At 43.9% G+C, this 19,591-nt stretch overlaps 1 pseudogene, besides 6 other annotated features; it reads right to left on the bottom strand.

Moving 5' to 3' along the window:
* Positions 1,668-2,168: an enhancer, noted in NCBI's record as "H3K4me1 hESC enhancer chr2:220567632-220568132 (GRCh37/hg19 assembly coordinates)". NCBI's record gives its function as "activates a minimal SCP1, AML or CMV promoter by ChIP-STARR-seq in naive H9 embryonic stem cells {active_cell/tissue: H9 hESC(naive)}" and the evidence as "EXISTENCE:reporter gene assay evidence [ECO:0000049][PMID:30033119]".
* Positions 5,437-6,636: an enhancer, noted in NCBI's record as "MED14-independent group 3 enhancer chr2:220563164-220564363 (GRCh37/hg19 assembly coordinates)". NCBI's record gives its function as "activates an origin of replication core promoter dependent on BRD2, BRD4, P300/CBP and CDK7 cofactors, and independent of MED14, by STARR-seq in HCT116 cells {active_cell/tissue: HCT116}" and the evidence as "EXISTENCE:reporter gene assay evidence [ECO:0000049][PMID:35650434]".
* RPL23P4 (ribosomal protein L23 pseudogene 4) lies at positions 6,864-7,265 on the bottom strand (annotated as a pseudogene).
* Positions 15,904-17,103: an enhancer, noted in NCBI's record as "CDK7 strongly-dependent group 2 enhancer chr2:220552697-220553896 (GRCh37/hg19 assembly coordinates)". NCBI's record gives its function as "activates an origin of replication core promoter dependent on BRD2, BRD4, P300/CBP, MED14 and CDK7 cofactors, with strong dependence on CDK7, by STARR-seq in HCT116 cells {active_cell/tissue: HCT116}" and the evidence as "EXISTENCE:reporter gene assay evidence [ECO:0000049][PMID:35650434]".
* Positions 15,904-17,347: a biological region, named in NCBI's record as "CDK7 strongly-dependent group 2 enhancer GRCh37_chr2:220552697-220553896".
* Positions 16,220-16,783: an enhancer, noted in NCBI's record as "H3K27ac-H3K4me1 hESC enhancer chr2:220553017-220553580 (GRCh37/hg19 assembly coordinates)". NCBI's record gives its function as "activates a minimal SCP1, AML or CMV promoter by ChIP-STARR-seq in naive H9 embryonic stem cells {active_cell/tissue: H9 hESC(naive)}" and the evidence as "EXISTENCE:reporter gene assay evidence [ECO:0000049][PMID:30033119]".
* Positions 16,784-17,347: an enhancer, noted in NCBI's record as "H3K27ac-H3K4me1 hESC enhancer chr2:220552453-220553016 (GRCh37/hg19 assembly coordinates)". NCBI's record gives its function as "activates a minimal SCP1, AML or CMV promoter by ChIP-STARR-seq in primed H9 embryonic stem cells {active_cell/tissue: H9 hESC(primed)}" and the evidence as "EXISTENCE:reporter gene assay evidence [ECO:0000049][PMID:30033119]".

Genomic DNA, 19,591 nt, shown 5'->3' with positions numbered 1-19,591 from the left:
AGTGTGGGTGGCCTACCTAAAGGGCAGGTTCTTCCCAAAGCCAGTTGTCCTAGATCAGGACATTAAAACATGGTGGGCAGGCTTGAGATAAGAGGTGGGGACTTCCTCTTCCTGGACATAGCTCTCCTAAACTGGACTCTAAGTATATAGAGATTCTCAAGATACCCCTGGGCAATGAGATGGAAAAATTGTCTTTGATGAGGGCCACAAGCTGGGGGCTGCCAAGAGAGGCCCCAGGGACAGAGCTGTTCCCATTGCAGCCACAGCTGGCTGCCCATACTCACTAGCTTATCTGTGGGGAGCCCCCTTTGCAGTTCCCCCAGCAAGCCTGCAGAAATGTCAGAAGCACACACCAGCCTGGTCTCAGCTGTGCTCTAGGGAAAGATCTATGTCTTCCCTTGGCCAGAGCAGTAATCAGAGAACCAAGTTCAGAGCTAGTGAGTGAGGACAGCAGTAAACAGTCCCCCAAGAGGATGACAAACCTCCAGAGAAGTGTTGGAACCGGGAGTTCTGCTGGTGAGAGTCAAGGAGTGGGGAGAGGGCTGCGTTTGAATGCTATGCTAGGAGTCCAGAAGGCCTGGGAGGCCATTGAAGAGGTTTTAGCAGAAAGAGCATTATGATCAGATTTGTGTGCAAGAAAAATAACTGTAGCAGTCAGGATGGATTGCCTGGGGGAGGGCAGTGTGGAGGGGAGAAGGAAGCAGAGGGATGGGTTAGGAAGACACTGCAGTCATTGGGTTCCAATGATGAGTGAAAGGGAGCACCTGTATCACTTTCCCCATCTGTCACTTCCAGACATGCCATCAGGCCCTCATCCTTGTCCCTTCTGCCCAGGACACCCCTCCTAGGAGATACTGTCTGGACAGTCCCGCCTAGGACTGGCCAGAACCCTGGTAACTCCTGTCTCCCTCTCCTCCGCCAGCACCAGCTAAACTACTTAGAATGATTATTTTGTTTAAAACCAACTCTGTTCAGCTGTGGTTATTTATACCTTTCTTTGGTCCCTGGGAAGGCAAGGGCCTTTTGGAAGAAACCCCTCCAGCTAATGCTATTGAAGACCCCTTTGCTGTTCCCCCAACAAGCCTGTGGAAACATCAGAACCACACAGCAGCCTGGTCTCAGCTGTGCTCTAAGGAAAGATCTATGTCTTCCCTTGGTCAGAGAAATAATCAGAGAACTGAGCTCAGAGCTAGTGTGTAAGGACAGCAAGAAACAGTCCCCCAAAAGGATGGCAAACCACCAGATACAAGAGTTGGAACTGGGAGTTCCAACTGCTGGAATGTCCCTTGCTGGGAGTTCCTTGCTGGAGTGAAGCTCACAGGCCCAGGCAATACAAATACTCCTTCGTGCTTCCTCACTGGTAGGGTTAGGGTTAGGGTGAGGGCTCAGGGTCAGGGTGCTCCTTGCATTGTTTTGTTCTTCATTTTAACTATAATCATATCCCTTTTGCTGTGCTGCTTTTTGCAGTGCATCTGGCTCAGCTCTCACCACTGGCTGTGCGACAGCCATGGGAAGTCACCTCACCTCACATGCCTCCAACTCTACGTGGATCATTCCCCAAGGGCCCCAGAGCTGCATTCTGAGAGCTATGTCACCTTTGCACTGAGGCCAATGACTGCACGAAGCCCAGATGCCAAGGCAGGTCAGTCTGAGGCTGGTGGACGACTTCGGTTCTGAGACTCCACAGCAGCCTTGCTTAACCTTGCTTTATTTGCAAAGCACTCTATGATGCTGCCACCCAGCCTTCCCTCCCCGCTCCCTCCTGCACTGGGGTGCGGAGTCACTCTTGCATCACACTCTGAAAGCTCCCAGACCTTTTCCCAGCTCTCTCCCCATTTTCCCTCACATAGGAATTTCCTCTAATAAAATCCTTGCATGTCTAATCCTGTCTTGACCTCTGCTTCTCCAAGGACCCAGATAAACACAGCTGTCCAGAAAAGAGAGACAACAGTTGTGCATTTGGAACCTGGGACCCTCTAGCCCCTTATTCTTTCATTTCTGAAACGTCTGTGGAGAGCTTCAGGAACTCCCAGCACTGGGGTGGGGGATGGGAGAGTACTAAGGTGGTGCTTCCAGAAGAGGCAGGTTGGGGATAGGAGCTCAAAGTCAGGTCAGAATCTACCAGTCTGAACAGTGCCCTGGGCACTGCCAAGAACTCAGCATGGCTCCATCTCAGACTCTAACAGGAGGAAAGATAGAAAACCCTTCCTTACACTGCCACCTCTGGGAAATATTTCACACCCCTAACAGAATGACAGTTGTGAAGAACACCTAGCCAGCTTGATTGACAGGACCCAAGGACAGGTAAGGCAGAAGAGGAGCCTGAAGGATTAGAAACCATATAGGAAACACTTCCCAGCAAAAACCCAAATGTGAAATCAAGCTGAACGATTAAAATGGCTTACTCGCAACAGGACTTCATGGTGAAAACCCAAAAAGTCGCTGCCAATCAGGTGCTCTTTTTGCAATTTTTTTTTAAATTCATTTATACTTTTAATGAAAATGAATGCTGGGGCATGAGAAAATTTTGTTAACCCTCAATGTTGCCTAATCATGGCTAACAAGGATTCTCATACTTCTTCTTGACTGAGGATTAAGCTGCTGACAGCAAGTTTATTAAATGAAGTCATTGTAATGAGGCAGCCAGCTAAGTCTGCAGAGCTCTGTCCTGTGGTTCATGGTAGGTATCATTTAACCAAGAGCCATGAGTTGATGGACCTCAGTAATCACGTTAATCTGCCTTTTCATTGTGATCTGGAGGATGTGACAAAAAGGAGTTTCAACATGATCTGCAGACAAGTTGGATCAGAGGAGTTGACGGAAGAGTCTTTTTATCCCCCAAGAAAATCAAGGGGCCTAAAAAGTGTTAAGACTCCATATCTGTCACTAGGAGGTTGAACACCCCAAAGAGCGTTCACAAAGACAGACCTGTAAGAGAGCTAACAGAGAATAATGCGGAACTTGGCCAGCTTCGGCAAGCAGACTTTGCGTTGCAGTGTAGTCAGCTTGCCCAGAGGCCGCGAGCCAAAGGACTGTTTAAAGACATTCATCTAGGTGGGGGATGGTTGCTAGTAGAGCCAGCTGCAGGCAAACTGTGAAGTGGCAACTTGCTCTCTGCAGCTCCCACCCTTCCCTTTGCTTGTCCTGAAATGCTCTCTCCCTCTCTGTCCTAAAGATCCTATTCCAGACCTAAGAAGAGAGAGGGAAAGAAAGGGAAACTATTAAGTGTTCCATTTAGTTATTCTATTTCCCACATTACCACAAGCCCATTACAGTGGGGTTGGCTGATAAATTTCTAACAGTAATGTTTGAATTGAATTTTTCCCCTGTCCTGCTCCATAACCACCCTCTAATATCTCCAGGCTTTTAGTGAGACCTGCTCTGCCTGGGCCTTATCATTACTGTATTGGAAGAATGAGGACTGGTGGTTTCTAACAGAGGGGAAAGCAGGTAAGTAAGAAGTGAAGGCAGTCCCAGGAGACGGCATGAAGGTGAGGAGAGAATGACAATGGAGACAAAGGCAGGGACACAGGTCAACACAGGCACAGCAGAAGAACTATATCCTAGAGGAAGGTGACCCTCAAAGGGAGAAGGCAGACACTTGGGTAACATGTATACATCTAGCTTTCTTTCTGCTTTTTAAAAAATTTATTGCCATAAAGACATGGAATCAACCTAGGTGCCCATCAATGTGGACTGAATAAAGAAAATGTTGTACACAGACACCATGGAATACTACCCAGCCATAAAAAAAACACAAAATCATGTCCTTTGCAGCAACATGGCTGCAGCTTGAGGCCATTATCCCAAGTGAATGAATGCAGGAACAAAAAACCAAATACCACATGTTCTTACTTATAAGTGGGAGCTAAACATTGGGTACACATGGATATAAAGATGGGAACAATAGACAATGGGGACTCCAAAAAGGGGTAGGGAGGGAGGAAGGGAGGGAGACAAGGGTTGAAAAACTATTGGATGCCATGTTCACTATTTGGGTGACAGAATCAACAGAAGCTCAAACCTCAGCATCATCACTCAATATACTCATGTAGGAAACCTGCACATCTACCTCTTGAATATAAAAAAAATTTTTTTTTTTTGAGACGGAGTCCCACTCTGTCACCCAGGCTAGAGTGCAGTGGCACGATCTCAGCTCACTGCAAGCTCTGCCTCCCGGGTTCATGCCATTCTCCCGCCTCAGCCTCCCAAGTAGCTGGGACTACAGGTGCCTGCCACCACGCCCGGCTAATTTTTTTGTATTTTTAGTACAGACGGGGTTTCACCGTGTTAGCCAGGATGGTCTCGATCTCCCACCTCGGCCTCCCGAAGTGCTGGGATTACAGGTGTGAGCCACCACGCCCAGCCCCAATAATTTTTAAAAAGAAGTCAGATTTAAGTACAAAAAAAATTAATGCTATAATGTACATAATTGAAATGAAGGCTAGTTTTTGATGACATAGGCTTACCTGAAGGGGGGTACTGTCCTTACATTTTGGTTTATACATTCCAAAAATGTCTGACCTTCCCAAATATCGCCTATATAGTTTCTAAATACCATAAAGTTTGCTAAAAATCCATAGCATAAGAATTAAGACGACCTGATGTGAGAGCAAAGTACTCAAAGGATCTTAATCTTAAAAAGGGAAAGCTTTAGAATCCAGGGAGTGAAAGGAGCTGAAGGCAAACATAGCCTCAAACCAGGGATCAAGGCTAAGAGAGGTTAAGAGTCTCATTCAAGGTCACGCAGTGGAGATGAAGCTCCAAGAGCCAGGTCTTCATTTAACTAATGCTGGGTTCTTTCAGCTATAGTCTGGCCTAAGAGTGTCCTTACTTGTCCTCTGAAAAAAAAAAATTTTTAATATTTCACTTTTGAGGTTCTCGATCATTTGAGACTAGAACTTCTGTAGGACAGTAAAGCCTTGTTTAATATTTTTTTAACCAAATTGTTTCCCCAGGAGTCTGTTCTGGTCCTTTGCTTGTCGCTCCCCTTTTCCATGTTTGATTCAAGCCTCTGGATTTATTTAGTCATGGCTGGAGTAAAGAGAGAGGGGAGGAGACGGCACAAGAACGTCTTTAATAACCATAAGATGGCTGGCCGCTAAATCCTTTTCAAGAATTGAAGCTTTTGCTGTCTCACTGCTTTTCAGTCAAATTACAGGGAATGATGTCTTGGATGATTAGGTCTGTGATGAAACTGGTTATAGAAGCTATTTCAGAACCCACAGTGGTTCCCACTTAAATCTAAACACGAAGACCTGCCACAGATACTCTATCTAAAACTATTTCAACGTGTTACGCTCTTCTGCACATGTCAATATTCTCTCCTTCGCAAAGCTAATCAATAACTAAAGAGAAAAAAAAGCAGATCTCGGTGAAAAAACATATTTGGCAATCCTTGGCTATATAAAATACCGCTTCAGTGCGGCATCCTTCGGTTGTATTTGCTGGCTTTGTTATCTGTGTAGGCTGTCCTCTGAACTATTTTTGTTCTCTGTGTTTACTTTTGAAATTGAATTTTTTTCATTCTAAAGTGCACCAAGGATGCCACTGTAGACAATCCAAGCTCATGCAGCATAGAGTTAAGATTTGATAACAATCTGGTTTCGTTTGACCATTGGAGGCCATCAAATCAGTTCTTTTAGTCGCAAATGACCATTTGTGGGTCCGAGGGGATCCCACATAGCTCTGAAAAATCAATCACGTTAACTGGAAAATAGGCAAACTCCCAAAGCCCTGTGTACGGTAAAGACCTCTCCCAGTTGTTTTTAACAGGTTTGAACTATTACCAATGAGTCACCACGGACTTTTGTCTTCATTCATTCCTTACTCTATGAAGACTTTTCCAAGGCAAACATTACATGCTATGATGTGGATCACAACAACAAAACAAAATAACCCGGTCGGGTGGTATTTTCCTTTGTTGTAATATCAATGTGTTTTTTAATTTACCACATGAAGAAAGCTACGGCAGGTACAGTATTTAGGAAATGCTAAGAAACTCGCTCCATAACACTTGAAGCAACCGGTTTCTGCCCTTGATGTACTACGGCTCTCCTTCCACACCCATGACCCCTGGGGAGAGAAACAAAATCAAAGGTAACCACATCCTACTTACTTTTGGCAAGTGGGATTACTCTCTATTGGAACCATTAATAACCCCTTTCCGGGGTTTTGTTTCCTGCCCTGAATTCACTGCAGATTGAGTATAATAAAGAGAGTAGAAAAGGGCAAGTAAACTCCTTTAATACCATGTCCGAAAGGCCGCTACACCCTGGAGAGTGAGCCAGTGTCTATGGTAACTAGCCCCCTCTCCAGCTGCGTGTGAAATGCTAGAAACAGAAATCTTTAGAAGTAAACAAAATAAGCTAAGAAATGTAGATGTGCTTTGTAAATGATAAAGCAGATAAATGTTTGTTGTCCCTGTTACTTTGGTAAATGTAAATGCAAACATTCTCAAATGCCCTTAGTGATGAACAAGACATTCACTTACAGGAGACCTAAAATGAGACCCAGGAACTGCTAATGCTGTCCTCTACCTGCTCAGGTTTCAGTTCTTCCTATGAAAGCCTCAGATTGCAGGGAAGTCTTTTTTTTTTTTTTTACTTTGGACATCCCCAGCTGGCGGAATGTGCTCATTTATAGGGCCCTCTGTGACTGAGGGGAGCCAAGGATAAAAGGAAAAATGGTATTCTCAAGTACGCAGATCGAGGAGGAAAATCCACCAACTTCTATGTGACCAGTAAGAGAGTAGTGGGAATATGCCAACAGTGTGGGGGTAAATCGTTTTTGGTGGGTGTTTTGGGAGGCGGGGGCAGAGTTTAATGTTTTTTTTTTTAATTTTTTACAAATACGCTAAAGATTCAGGCAGTGCTGCCAGCATTGGACGTCAGCCTGGGCCACATGGCTGCATACTCCTTTGCAACTGGCCCTGTGATGACAGAACTTTTCATCACACGTTTATTACTTACTACAACCCTGGCATTATCTTCAAAATAAAGAAACAAGCCATCTTTTCTCTGGCATGACTTCTGTTGTCACATGACCACTGCTGGATGCACCTTCCTTCTGAGCTCTGGCTCGCCTTACTGACCATGGCCATCACCACGTTACCCACACCAGCAGAAAGTTTCGCTGTCGCTTGATCTCATTCACAGAGATGACTACAGATTTTTCACTCCTGTGTGGTCAACACACTTGATCACATTTCCTACCAGAAGACCCAGGGAAACCCTGAATTTCACATAGAAGGACCCACCACATCCTCACACTTCAACATCTTCAGAAAGAGCATTGGTAAATATTTAATAATTGCTCTCTGGGGAAAAATGAATGCATATATAGATATACTGCATGTAGATGTTTGATACAAATCTTACCAATATAAAGGATCTATAGTACCCAATTTACAGATAATAACAAATTATACTCTTTATGATAAACTCCATATAGCCAATAGATCCTCACACAAGGCTTTGTTGATTTTTGCAAAATTCTTCTATCTGTACTCAATCTAGGGTTGGAATAGATAAATGAGTGTGGTTACAACATGAATGTTGGTTGATATTTTCCTTTACATTAACAAGAAAAAAGAAAGTGAGTTAATAAAGATGTATGTCAGTATTTTCACTTGCTCTTCAATGACATGAGTGATTGCTTGCTGTATCAGATGATAGTTTCAAATACCGGGAGAATTTCCTAAGCCTTTTTTTACTATTCACAATGTAATAGTTATGGACATGACACACGTTTAAGTTTAATATGCAATATTCACATCTTCTCCATCACTTTCTTAAGTCTAGGCAATCAACGAGACAATAAATCAAGCCCTGATTTGTACCATTTGCAGATTTCCAAGGTGCAAATATTCCCACCAGGGTTGATTCCAAGCTACCATTTTGATGTCATGGACTACAGAATTGGGAAGAAATGTGCAATAGCACACCGTGATATACTGTTTCCACCATACTGAAAAAATGGGTAGAAATAACCTCACAATCATAGAGAACAGTAAAAAGGTAGTAGAATAAATAGGAAGTAATGAGTTTCGAGAATTTATTGCCTTTTTCATGTAATTTACTTAATTGTAAATTTACACAATTTAATTTTTAAGAATGGCTGTGTTTAACAATTGGCTTGAAAATTTCCTGAAAATTTGACAATCAGCTCTCATGAGCTGGTATGAGCCACTCCAGGACACCACAGGAAAATGCCCAAAACACACCTGTGTTGGCTGGGAATTTTTGAGAGGCTGAGCATTTGAGGCATTCACATACCTGGGTTTTAGATTTTAGGGAAGTTGCCTAATTTTGAGCCTAAGTTCTTGAAGTGGTGGTTAGGATGTGGAGAAGCCCATCTGAGCTCCTGGCCAAGCTCCTGGCCAAGCTTTGACAGCTCCTCCTAGATGTCACTGTTAATCTTCATGTATGATCTTTCCAGTCCAACTAATTATACCTATTTTGTTTTGTTCTGAATATCACCCATTTGACAAGTAAGGTTACCAAACCTAGCACAGCCTTCTCCAAAGCACATCCTGAGCCTGAAGTCTGATCAGCTTGGTTCCACCAGGAACCAACCGTCAGCTGATAAATCACAGGAAGATGACTGGCCAGGGGAAGGCTGAAGGATACCTGAATAATTTCACGATAATCATCTGGAAGATACTTGATCTAGGAAGAGGAGGCAGGAAAAGAAAGATTGCTGGACCAGGTTTGAATGCAATAATATGCCTGGTGAGAAGAGGGAGGAGACGGTGAGCAGTCACATGGGTTGGTACCCAGATCCTTAATTTAGTGTTTGGTGAAATCTTGCTACCACTCCTTTGCCCCCATGGCTTAGGGGAAATGCAAACATCAAAATTACCTAAAGTCAGAGGTATCTTATTTGGTGCACTTGAAAGTTGACATGGTTCTCCTGTAAGGTCCAATCACCCTTGGGTCAGAAAAGCGTTGAAGTAGAGAGCTAGTTGCACACAACTTGGGGAAATTCTCCTGATATTTCCTACATTTTCAAAGAATATGAACATCTGAACACCCAACAAGAGGGAAAGAAGCATCATGATGAAAAGTCTGCTAAGAGTAAGTAGAGCCAGAGAGATCAAGGTTAAAATCTCTGCTTCCCCACTTACTAGCTGTGTGACCTTCAGTGAGCTTCCTTAATGGTAACATGGGAATAATCGTTTTACTTACATTTTAGAGTCATCTGCAGATTATATTTAAAGCCTCTAGTAAGTTGTAAATATATAATATATTCGCTTTAAAAAATGGAAAAAGAGGAAGCACCTATAGTTGTTTTTTTAAAAGCAGAAGAATACAAATTTATTTACATTTCTGTAGTATATCGGGAAAAATGGCCACAATGTTTTGCAACTTCTCTCATCAAGTGGCAAAATCCGTTTATCCAATCCTCAAATACGGGCTTGGCATGTAACTGGCTTTGGCCAGTGGAATATTAGCAAATGTGACACAAGCAAAGACTTGATAAGTACTTGCACAAGTTCTTGAGAATTACTTCCCTTCTTGCTGATGGGAACACTTCTGCTGTCATGTGACTGGCCCGTTGGATAATGGGAGGCAGGTGGTCATCATCCCAGCTGTCATCACATCAGCTGCCACACATGTGAGTGAGGCCATCCTAGACTATCCAGTACCAGCTTAGCTGGCCAGAACAGAAGAACCACCTACCAGACTCCAAGAATCATGAACAAATAAAATGTTTCTTGTTATAAGCCACTAAATTTGAGGGTTTTTTTTTTTTTGCAGCAACAGCTAACTGATACAGTTCTGACTGCAGCTATATAAAGATACTTATGCAATGAAACAAGATTGAAGGGATACTGAGCTAAATGCCTCTTGCCCTCAACTGCTCACAATCATTTAAGTGAGAGAGACAAGACATAGAAATAGATAATACAGTTCAGCACAGAAGTTGCCAATAGGTTCAGGGTGGTATTAACTATGAGTAATTTTTTAAATGTTCTCTTAATATTATGATCAGTTTTTTCATACAGTTTTTAAATTGAATTTAGAAGGAGTGGCTTAAGACTGTTAAGCTAGCATCTGCCTGGAGTGGAAGTTATAGGAGACAGAAAGAAGATGTGAAGTCTTCCCATGTGTACCCTCCTGACTCTAAAGGAGAGAGCCAGCCTGGCCAAATCATTTTTATTACCTTGAACAACCCCATATCAAAGTCAGGATGTGTAGATTTACCAGAAGTTATCTACCTTATCATTTCAATTAAACATATGGCTGAGGAATCTAATGAAGAAGGCTTGAGTGATGGCCGTAGAATCAATAAAGTCTTTCTGGACTTATCGATTTAGCATTCTCCATGCAGTAGAATTGATTTATGTCCTCGGATTTATTTTGATAACTCAATGATAACTCCACTATTCCTAAATTAATGTCAACTTTTCCTCAGGCTAAACTTTTTTCTAGGCAAGGAAAAAATCTTATATCAAGTCAAACTGATTTTGCTAAGTAATTCCATGGCTAACAGGATGCCATAAATCAAAGAGAACCATGTACTACTATAATTGTAAATCATCCTTGTCATGGAAAAGTACAATGGCATTTATTTGTCAGTATTGTGATTGTATCATGCAGGGCCTCTTTCCTGTCAAAACTCATATCTTCCAATACAAACTCTATCATCTAATTGCAATTTAATAAATTCAATAGATTGCTTAAAAACTACATTAATTTTCATCTCCTACAGCTTAAATTTCCAGAACATGTGAGATGGATAGGTCCTAATTTCTAATTAGCACAATCTTATTGAATGAGATAAACCATCATCTTTGCATGAGGAATATTCATCTTGGGCATACACAAGCAAGACAATTAGTCAGTGCCATGTAAATGGGTATATTTGCAAATGCTTTTTGGGAAAAGTATTTTTCAACCAGATCTACAAAGCAAAAGGAAAAACAGAAATTTTTCAATAAAAAAATACCATAATAGATAGTTCAATTAATCACCAAGTCTGTGAGTCCACCTCCTACACAACTCTGAAATCTACCCAATTTTCTCTATTGGCCCAGCCACCATCAGGACCAGGAGAGCATCACTGCTTGCCAGATGCTGCAATAGACTCCTTGCTTCTCTTCCTGTCACCACTGCCACTTTTTCCAATTCATTTTCTACATTGCAGCAAGAGGGCTTATTTTCAAAAATGCAAATCTCATTATAACATCACTGCCTACTCCTTCCCCTGGCTCTCAGAATAAAGAAAAATAAGCTATCAAAGCAGTCTGCAAGACCCTGCCTGCCTATTCTAACTCATCTGTCCAGGCCCCTGCACTCTCTGCTCCAGCCAGGCTGGGCTTCTGTCAACACCTCTGACATGCCCCGGAATCCCACACACATGCTAGTCTCTTGACCTACAGCACACCTGCACCCTCTCTTTGCCAAGCTAAACCCCACCATCCTACAGTTCTGGGCTCAAACACCACTTGATATGATTTGGCTGTGTCCTCACTCAAATCTCAAATTGTAGTTCCCATAATTCCCACGTGTCATGAAAGGGACCGGGTTGGAGGTAATTGAATCATGGGGGCGGGTCTTTCTCATGTTGTTCTCATATAGTGAATAAGTCTCATGAGATCTGATGGTTTTATAAAGGGGAGTTCCCCTGCACAGACTCTCTCTCTTGCCTGCCACCATGTAAGATGTGACTTTGCTCCTGGTTTGCATTCCACCACGATTGTGAGGTCTCCCCCACCAGTCACATGGAACTGTGAGTTCATTAAACCTATTTTTCTTTATAAATTAGCCAGTCTCACCAGGCGTGAGTCTCACAGGCTCACTCCTGTAATCCCAGCACTTTGGGATGCCAAGGAGGGCAGATCACCTGAGGTCGGGAGTTCAAGACCAGCCTGACCAACCTGGAAAAACCCTGTCTCTACTAAAAATACAAAATTAGCCAGGCGTGGTGGCATATGCCTGTAATCCCAGCTACTCGGGAGGCTGAGGCAGGAGAATCGCTTGAACCCAGGAGGCGGAGGTTGCCGTGAGCTGAGATCACGCCACTGTACTCCAGCCTGGGCAACAAGAGCAAAATTCCATCTCAAAAAAAAAAAAAAAAAAAAAAATTAGCCAGTCTCGGGTTTATCTTTATTAGCAGTGTGAGAACAGACTAATACACCACTTCTCCCAAGAAGGGTTCCCTGCTTCCCCAGTGGGTTAGACCCTTCCACAACCTGCACTTCTCCTTTACAGCCTTTTGTGCTTCTCTGCTTAGTTTCTGTCTTCTCTGTTAGATGGTAGCGTACTGAGGATAGGGACAATGTCTGCTTACTCCCCACTCCCCTGTCATACTGGTGCTCAGCTCATATTTGATTACTTCTTGACTGAGATGGGGCAGGCAAGTGGGGACAGGGACCAAAAGAGCAGGAGCATTCACTGGGACAGGGCTGACGTAAATCCAAGTACACACCAAAGTTCCCATGGGGGAAGGCGGGCCAGGCCAGCAGTGTGCAAATGGCAGGTGCTGCTGTGACAGAACGTTGACCCACCTTCTTAATTAATGGACCTTTTCATTTTCAACGAACTTCAAACCAACAGAAAAGCTGCAAAAATAGTGTCACCAAACCACCATATATCCTTCACCCGGATTCACATATTCAAATTTTACCAACTTAATTTGTGTCTTTAAACCTCTTAAACAGTTACCAATTGGAGACAGCTAAAATACTTAGTCTAGCCAACTAGGCAACACCTTGTCTCTGAAGTTTTCCAGAGGTGGCAAATTATTAAAACCCAGTAAAACCGCAAAACCAGAAAAGTTTCAGGTAAAGTAAAATTCCTAGATTTTCTCTGAGCAAATGCAAACCACCTATAAGCACAATTCCAGGATCAGTTTGGCCTCCAAAAATCCTCCAGAGGCAACCCCCTTGGGCTTATAAAACTTTAAATCAGATCAAATCCATCTTTAATGCATTGCTAGGTAGGTCAATAGCAAGCACAAGCTCATTCCCAAATATAAGTGCCACCTCTCCCGACTGGACCAAAGTGAGATACAGAAACAGAGTTAATAAGGGCAGGGACAGGGGCTGGTCACAGAACAAGCACAGCCAGGGGACATTCAGTAAATTAAATGGCCCATGGGAGGCAGTTCACACTCGAAAGAGCAATTTAAACTATTTATGATCGTTGATGGGCCCTGAATTAGTTATAACTTCCTAAAGAAAAAAATCTTGAAATTATCACAAAGCCAGCACTGAATATGGCTGCACAGTGCTCACTGGAGGTCATGAAGGAGAATGAGCTATTAGTCTGTATTAAGGAGCGAACACCATGGTAATGGCGAACTAGTGTGTAATACAAATGCGGGCGGCCCGACCTTGACTGCCGTTCAGTGCTGGGCCCTCCATCTCAAAAGGAAATAGACGAGGCAACAGGAGGGCCACAGGGTGATTAGTGTATCAGTGAGGGCTCAGAACCTCTAAATGAGGAAAGGTTTAATTATACAGGCAGCTAATTAGGAAGAAAAGAGGAGAAAACGGACAGAGGTGTGTACATGAAAAGATGAGGATTCAGGGGTGACTGAGTGAGGCCCCAAAGGTTCTAAATGAGACTTTTACAAAACACATCCATAAGGTTGTTTTTGAAAGAAAATTTTCAGTAGATCAACAAATTCTTTGGAGGAAATAAAGGGCTGGGCTCCACAGAGCAGTTCTAAACATCTAAATAAATATGCGCCTGTTTGGAATTGACCAGAAATTTTAACCGGTTATGAACTATGTTTTATCCAGGAAACTGGATAGAATAGAGTCGTGAATTCAGCTGTTTGTGACTGTTAGAAAAGACTGCCATAGCTAGAAAGGAATAACGGGATACTCAGACGAGGGTCAGCAAACGATGGCCCTCGGGCCACTTCCAGCCTGTTGTCTGTTTTTATACTGTCAGCAAGTTAAGAATGATTTTCCATTTCAAAGCGGTTGAAAAAACTCAAAAGGAGAGTACTATTTCAAGACACATGAAAATTATATTCATGTTCATGAAATTTTATTGGAACACAGTCACATCCTTTCGCTTTTGCACCAAGACAACAGAACTGAGGAGCTGCGACAGAGACTGTATTGAGCCACAAGTCTAAAATATTTACTTTCTAAACAGGGCATGGTGACTCACGCCTCTAATCCCAGCACTTTGGGAGGCCCTGGTGGGCGGATCACCTGAGGTCAGGAGTTCGAGACCAGCCTGGCCAACATGGAGAAATCCCATCTCTACTAAAAATCAAAAATTGGCCAGGAGTGCTGGCGCACGCCTGTAGTCCCAACTACTTGGGAGGTTGAGGCAGCAGAATTGCTTGGGAGGTGGAGGTTGCAGTGAGCCAAGATTGCACCACTGCACTCCAGCCTGGGCAACAAAGCCAGACTCTGTCTCTAAATAAATTGATTAATTAATTTAATCAAATATTTACTTTCTGGTCCTTTTCAGAGAAAAATCTGCCCACCTCCACTCTAAGGTGTTGTGTGTTAAATATTTCCATTGTGGCCAGAGACCCACACAATCAGCAAGTGCTACCATTCCCATGCCTGGTATCAGGGGACCACGTAAGTAAGCCTCTTGCTAGGGTCCCCCGCCTGGGCCCCAGGCTCAAAGGAATGCAGGTAAAGTGACCGGAGGAAGCTCCTGCACTAGCAAAGAGGGCCACATACCACAGCAGATCCCAGTCGGGGCCGCCCAGCGGCCTGCTGGCCTCCTAGAGAGGCTCCCTAGCAACATGGAGTCAGCGTGCTCGGAACCCTTGACTTCACAGAAGCATTAGGTGAGCGCTCAAGGGCTTTTTGTGCACCAGAGGCAGTAAAATGCCATGTTTGCCAACATGTGAAATGCGCGGGGATATCAGATACATCTCAATTTTTCAGAAAGTTTTTTGGAAAAATAAAGACTAAGCTGTAAGGGAAATATTTTATTCCTATAAATATAGTACACAGGATTGTGACTCCATTAAAAAATAGTACGGTTTTGATACACAGTCTAGTATCCCTAAAAACAAGAATAAAATCACAGAGCTAAAAAGAAATATCTTGGTATTTAGGAATATGAGTTGCAGTGAAAAAATACTTAAATTCATAACATAGGGGAGTTACTCAAATTCCATATTCATCTGTGTGGTCTCTGGTTTTTGTTTTGTTTTTTGATAAGGGGATGAAAAGCGCTCACATTTGCAAAATGTATGTTGCCATCTTCTGCCACTAGGGGGTAGCATGCCCCATTATTTTACCTCTTTCTCAGCCTTCCAGCTGTGCCTGATACCAAAGCGTAAGACTGACAAGAAAACTTGTGTATATAATAAACGATTAGATATCGTACAATGCCATATATTTGATATATGTTATGTGTATAGTATTATGTAATACGTAATATATCTTATGTTGTAACATATACATTATTCATATATAAAGTATAAAATTTTATTTTGCATATATAATCCATCATTTGGGAAAAGCGGGGAATGTATCCTATATACCAGTAAACACAGCAAGCCTCACTAGTGCACAAAAAATCTAGTCGGAGTTCACCTGCTTCTATTAAAAGATTGAGGGCAGCTCTGCTTGATGTTAAAGGAGGGATTAGGGCTATTAGGATCTTCCCAGTGGAAAGCTCCAGAAAGTTTGGACCACCTAGAAGGCTGCGTGGTCACCGACCGGCTTGTGGAAGGAGAGGGAGGACGGGAGTCATGGGATGTACAGACTCAGTAGCCAAGGAATCTGAGAGATGCCCAATCTAACTCAGAAGCCAAGAGGCCGGAGCACCGCAAGGGCACAGGGAGCCCTGGAGCCTGAGGGAGAGTCCAGAGCTGCAGGCAAAGCCGTGTCAAGAGTCCAGGCTTAGAAACAGCCGCAAACCAACGCTCCAAATAGCTCAATGCGTCACATAGTCGGAATCTCAAAAATGTGACTTTAAGTTCATTTCCAAAATAAGACAAGGAGTGGCAGAAGGGAGATTCAAATTCCAACCTGTTCAGACATTCTAAAACATAAAACCCTGAATGTTTGGGGGCAATTAATCCAGAAAACATCTCAGTCAGCTTCTAACATCTGCCGCTGGAGCGAGGATGGAAAGCACTGGAAATGAAGGGCTTTCCTGGATCTGGGAATCTGGGTGCGCAGGCCAGTTCCCAACGCGCATGTGAACATCGCTTTTCTGCAGTCAGGACTAAAGCTGCCTTCCACATGGTCCACGTACATGAGGTCCGCACACATGAAATGTCTTTGTGCTGCTTCTCAGCATACATCATACTTTTCCCATGAATCATTTAAGACCAAAAAAAAAAAATACCTATGAGATAGGTATTAATATCATACCCACTGTACAGATTAAGAAACAGACACAGAGAGCTTAAGCAACTTGCCCAAGGTCACAACAGTGAGTGACGGTGCCGGGAGTTAACACAGAAAACTCTTTGTATTAGTCTGTTTTCATACTGCTATAAAGAACTTCCCGAGAATGAGTAATTTATAAAGGAAGGAGGTTTAATTGACTCACCGTGCAGCATGGCTGGGGAGGCCTCTGGAAATTTACAATCACGGCAGAAGGTGAGGGGGAAGCAAGGCACCTTCTTCACAAGGTGGGAGGAAGAAGGGCCGAATGAAGGGGGAAGAGCCCCTTATGAAACCATCAGATCTCGTGAGAACTCACTCCCTGTCACGAGAACAGCATGGGGGAAACCACTCCGTGGTTTAATTACCTCCACCTGGTCTCTCTCTTGACCTGTGAGGATGACGGGGTTTGCAATTCAAGATGAGATTTAGGTGGGGACACAAAGCCTAACCATATCACTCTTCTTGCTTCAGAATTGCCTGTTCTTTCTGCTACATTTGCTGCCTCCAAAAAAAGTATTTCTCTGAGCCAAGAAGTGTATAAAAAGGCAAGCTTCAATGAGCACAATAGATTTGTACACATCAGAGGCATTCGAACCAGAGTGACTCCATTTTGAACAGTGGCTGGGTGAAATGAGGCTGAGACCTGCTGGGCTGCATTCCCAAGAGGTTAGGTAATCTTAGTCACAGGATGAGATAGGAGGTTACGCCGGGCGCGGTGGCTCACACCTGTAACCCCAGCACTTTGGAAAGCCGAGGTGGGCGGATCACGAGGTCAGAAGATCGAGACCATCCTGGCTAACACGGTGAAACCTCGTCTCTACTAAAAGTACAAAAAATTAGCTGGGCATGGTGGCGGGCGCCTGTAGTCCCAGCTACTCGGGAGGCTGAGGCAAGAGAATGGCATGAACCCAGGAGGCGGAGCTTGCAGTGAGCCGAGATTGCGCCACTGCACTCCAGTAGTCTGGACAACAGTGCAAGACTCCGTCTCAAAAAAAAAAAAAAAAAAAGACAGGAGGTTGGCAGGACCATTATCACAAGATACAGGTCACAAAAACCCTACTGATAAAACAGGATGCAGTAAAGAAGCTGGACAAAACCTGCCAAAATCAAGATGGTGACAAAAGTGGCCTCTGGTCATCATCACTGCTCATTGTACACTACTTATACATAAGCATGCTAAAAGACACTCCCACCAGCACCATGACAGCTTATAAATGCCATGGCAAACTCTGGAAGTTACCCTATATGGTCTAAAAGGAAAGGAATCCTTAGTTCTAGGAAATCCTCCCACCCCCCGCCTTTCCCAGAAAACTCATGAATAATCCACCCCTTGTTTAGCATATGATCAAGAAGTAACCATAAAAATAGCCAGCCAGCAGCCCTCGGGTCTGCTTTGTCTATGGAGTAGCCATTCTTTTATTCTTTTACTTTCTTACAAACTTGCTTTCACTTTACTCTGTGGATTCGCCTGAAATTCTTTGTTGTGTGAGATCCAAGATCCTTCTCTTGGGGTCTGGATTGGGACCCCTTTCTGGTAACATATACATTAAAAAGAAAAAAACAAACAGGCAAACATAATAGAATTTTTCCAAAGGCTAATGGGTAGCCAGGGGTCATGAGAGAAAAAGAACAGGAATTAGGGAAGAAAGAAGGAAAGGATTCGAATCATAAGACAGGAAGATGGGCACTAACCTCATAAGTATATTTTCAAAGCAAGCATAAGAGGTGCCTGCTGGCCAGGCGCCGTGGCTCACGCCTGTAATCCCAGCACTTTGGGAGGCCAAGGCAGGCGGATCACGAGGTCAGGAGTTCGAGACCAGCCTGGCCAATATGGTGAAACCCTATCTCTACTAAAAATACAAAAATTAGCCGGGTGTGGTGGCGCTCGCCTATAGCCCCAGCTACTTGGGAGGCTGAGGCAGAAGAATTACTTGAACCCAGGAGGTGGAGGTTGCAGTGAGCCAGGACAACAGAGCGAGACTCCATCTCAAAAAAAAAAAAAAAAGTGCCTGCTGCATTTGGTGGCTTAAAGTTCTTAAAGTTCTGAGGGAGTCTTTGGCCAAAGAATGGAATCAGGAAAGGTGCCTTGGTATGTAAAATGAGCTGAATCAACAACAGTGGAAGGAATGCAGGAAAAAGGCGGATTTCTGCCCGGTCTAGTGGCAAAGGACAGCAGTGAAAGCAGGGGCACTCCAGGGACTGAACAGAAACAAAGACTCTAAGAGCAAGTTGAGTCTCTCCACAACTGCACAAAGCCACATTCTTTGCCTAATTACTTAAGCCAGAGTGTGTTCACCTGGAAATTTCCTGCTGGTCAGAGGAAGCAGTTTTGTTTCTGTTGTTGATGTCTTGGTTGAGGGAGGGGCTCCAGGTGATTGTAGCAGACAGACAGGGCAGGACAACAGGGAGCAGGGAATGTGGCATGCCGGATGCCACGATTCCACACACCACAAGTGGTTCCATTTCAGCCCAGAAATGATGAGACTAGCCTGGGATTTGCTACTTTTCCCATTCCTCCTGCTATGTTATTTGCTTTAATGAGAGAGACAAAGGGAGAGGAGAGATGGACAGAGAGAGAGAGAGAGAGAGAGAGAGAGAGAGAGAGAATGTGTCTCTAACAGTAAGAAAATAGCCATGTATCCATCCAACAGGAAGGCAGGTAAAGAAAGGGGGAAGGCCAGGCACGGTGGCTCACGCCTGTAATCCCAGCACTTTGGGAGGCCGAGGCAGGCAGTTAGCCTGAGGTCAGGAGTTTGAGACCAGTCTGGCCAACGTGGCAAAACCCTGTCTCTACTAAAAATACAAAAAAAAAAAAAAAAAAATTAGCTGTGCGTGGTGGCGTGCGCCTGTAATCCCAGCTACTCCGGAGGCTGAGGCAGGGGAATTGCTCGAACCAGGGAGGTGGAGGTTGCAGTGAGCCGAGATCACGCCACTGCATTCCAGCCTGGGCAACAGAGTGAGACTCCACCTCAAAAAAAAAAAAAAAAAAAGAAAGAAAGAAAAGAAAGAAAGAAAGGGGGAAAAGTGGTCACTGAGAAATTTCCAGCAAAGACTGGCCTCCTGGAAACCTTGGCATGTCCCTGGAGAGGCTGCTGACTGCACCGTGTGCCGAGTCCTGCCTTGGCTGATGCTCACCATCTCAGTCCAGAGGGGAGGCTGTTGCAGCGGATCAAGTGAGGCTGAGTCAAGCACTCGGGGCAGATTTAGTGCCTGCCGTAACCTCATCTAGTTATGTTGTAGGACTTTCTCCTTAGTTCA

Source organism: Homo sapiens, chromosome 2 (assembly GCF_000001405.40).
Source record: "Homo sapiens chromosome 2, GRCh38.p14 Primary Assembly".
Taxonomy (NCBI): domain Eukaryota; kingdom Metazoa; phylum Chordata; class Mammalia; order Primates; family Hominidae; genus Homo; species Homo sapiens.
This window is presented reverse-complemented; position numbering and strand designations above follow the sequence as displayed.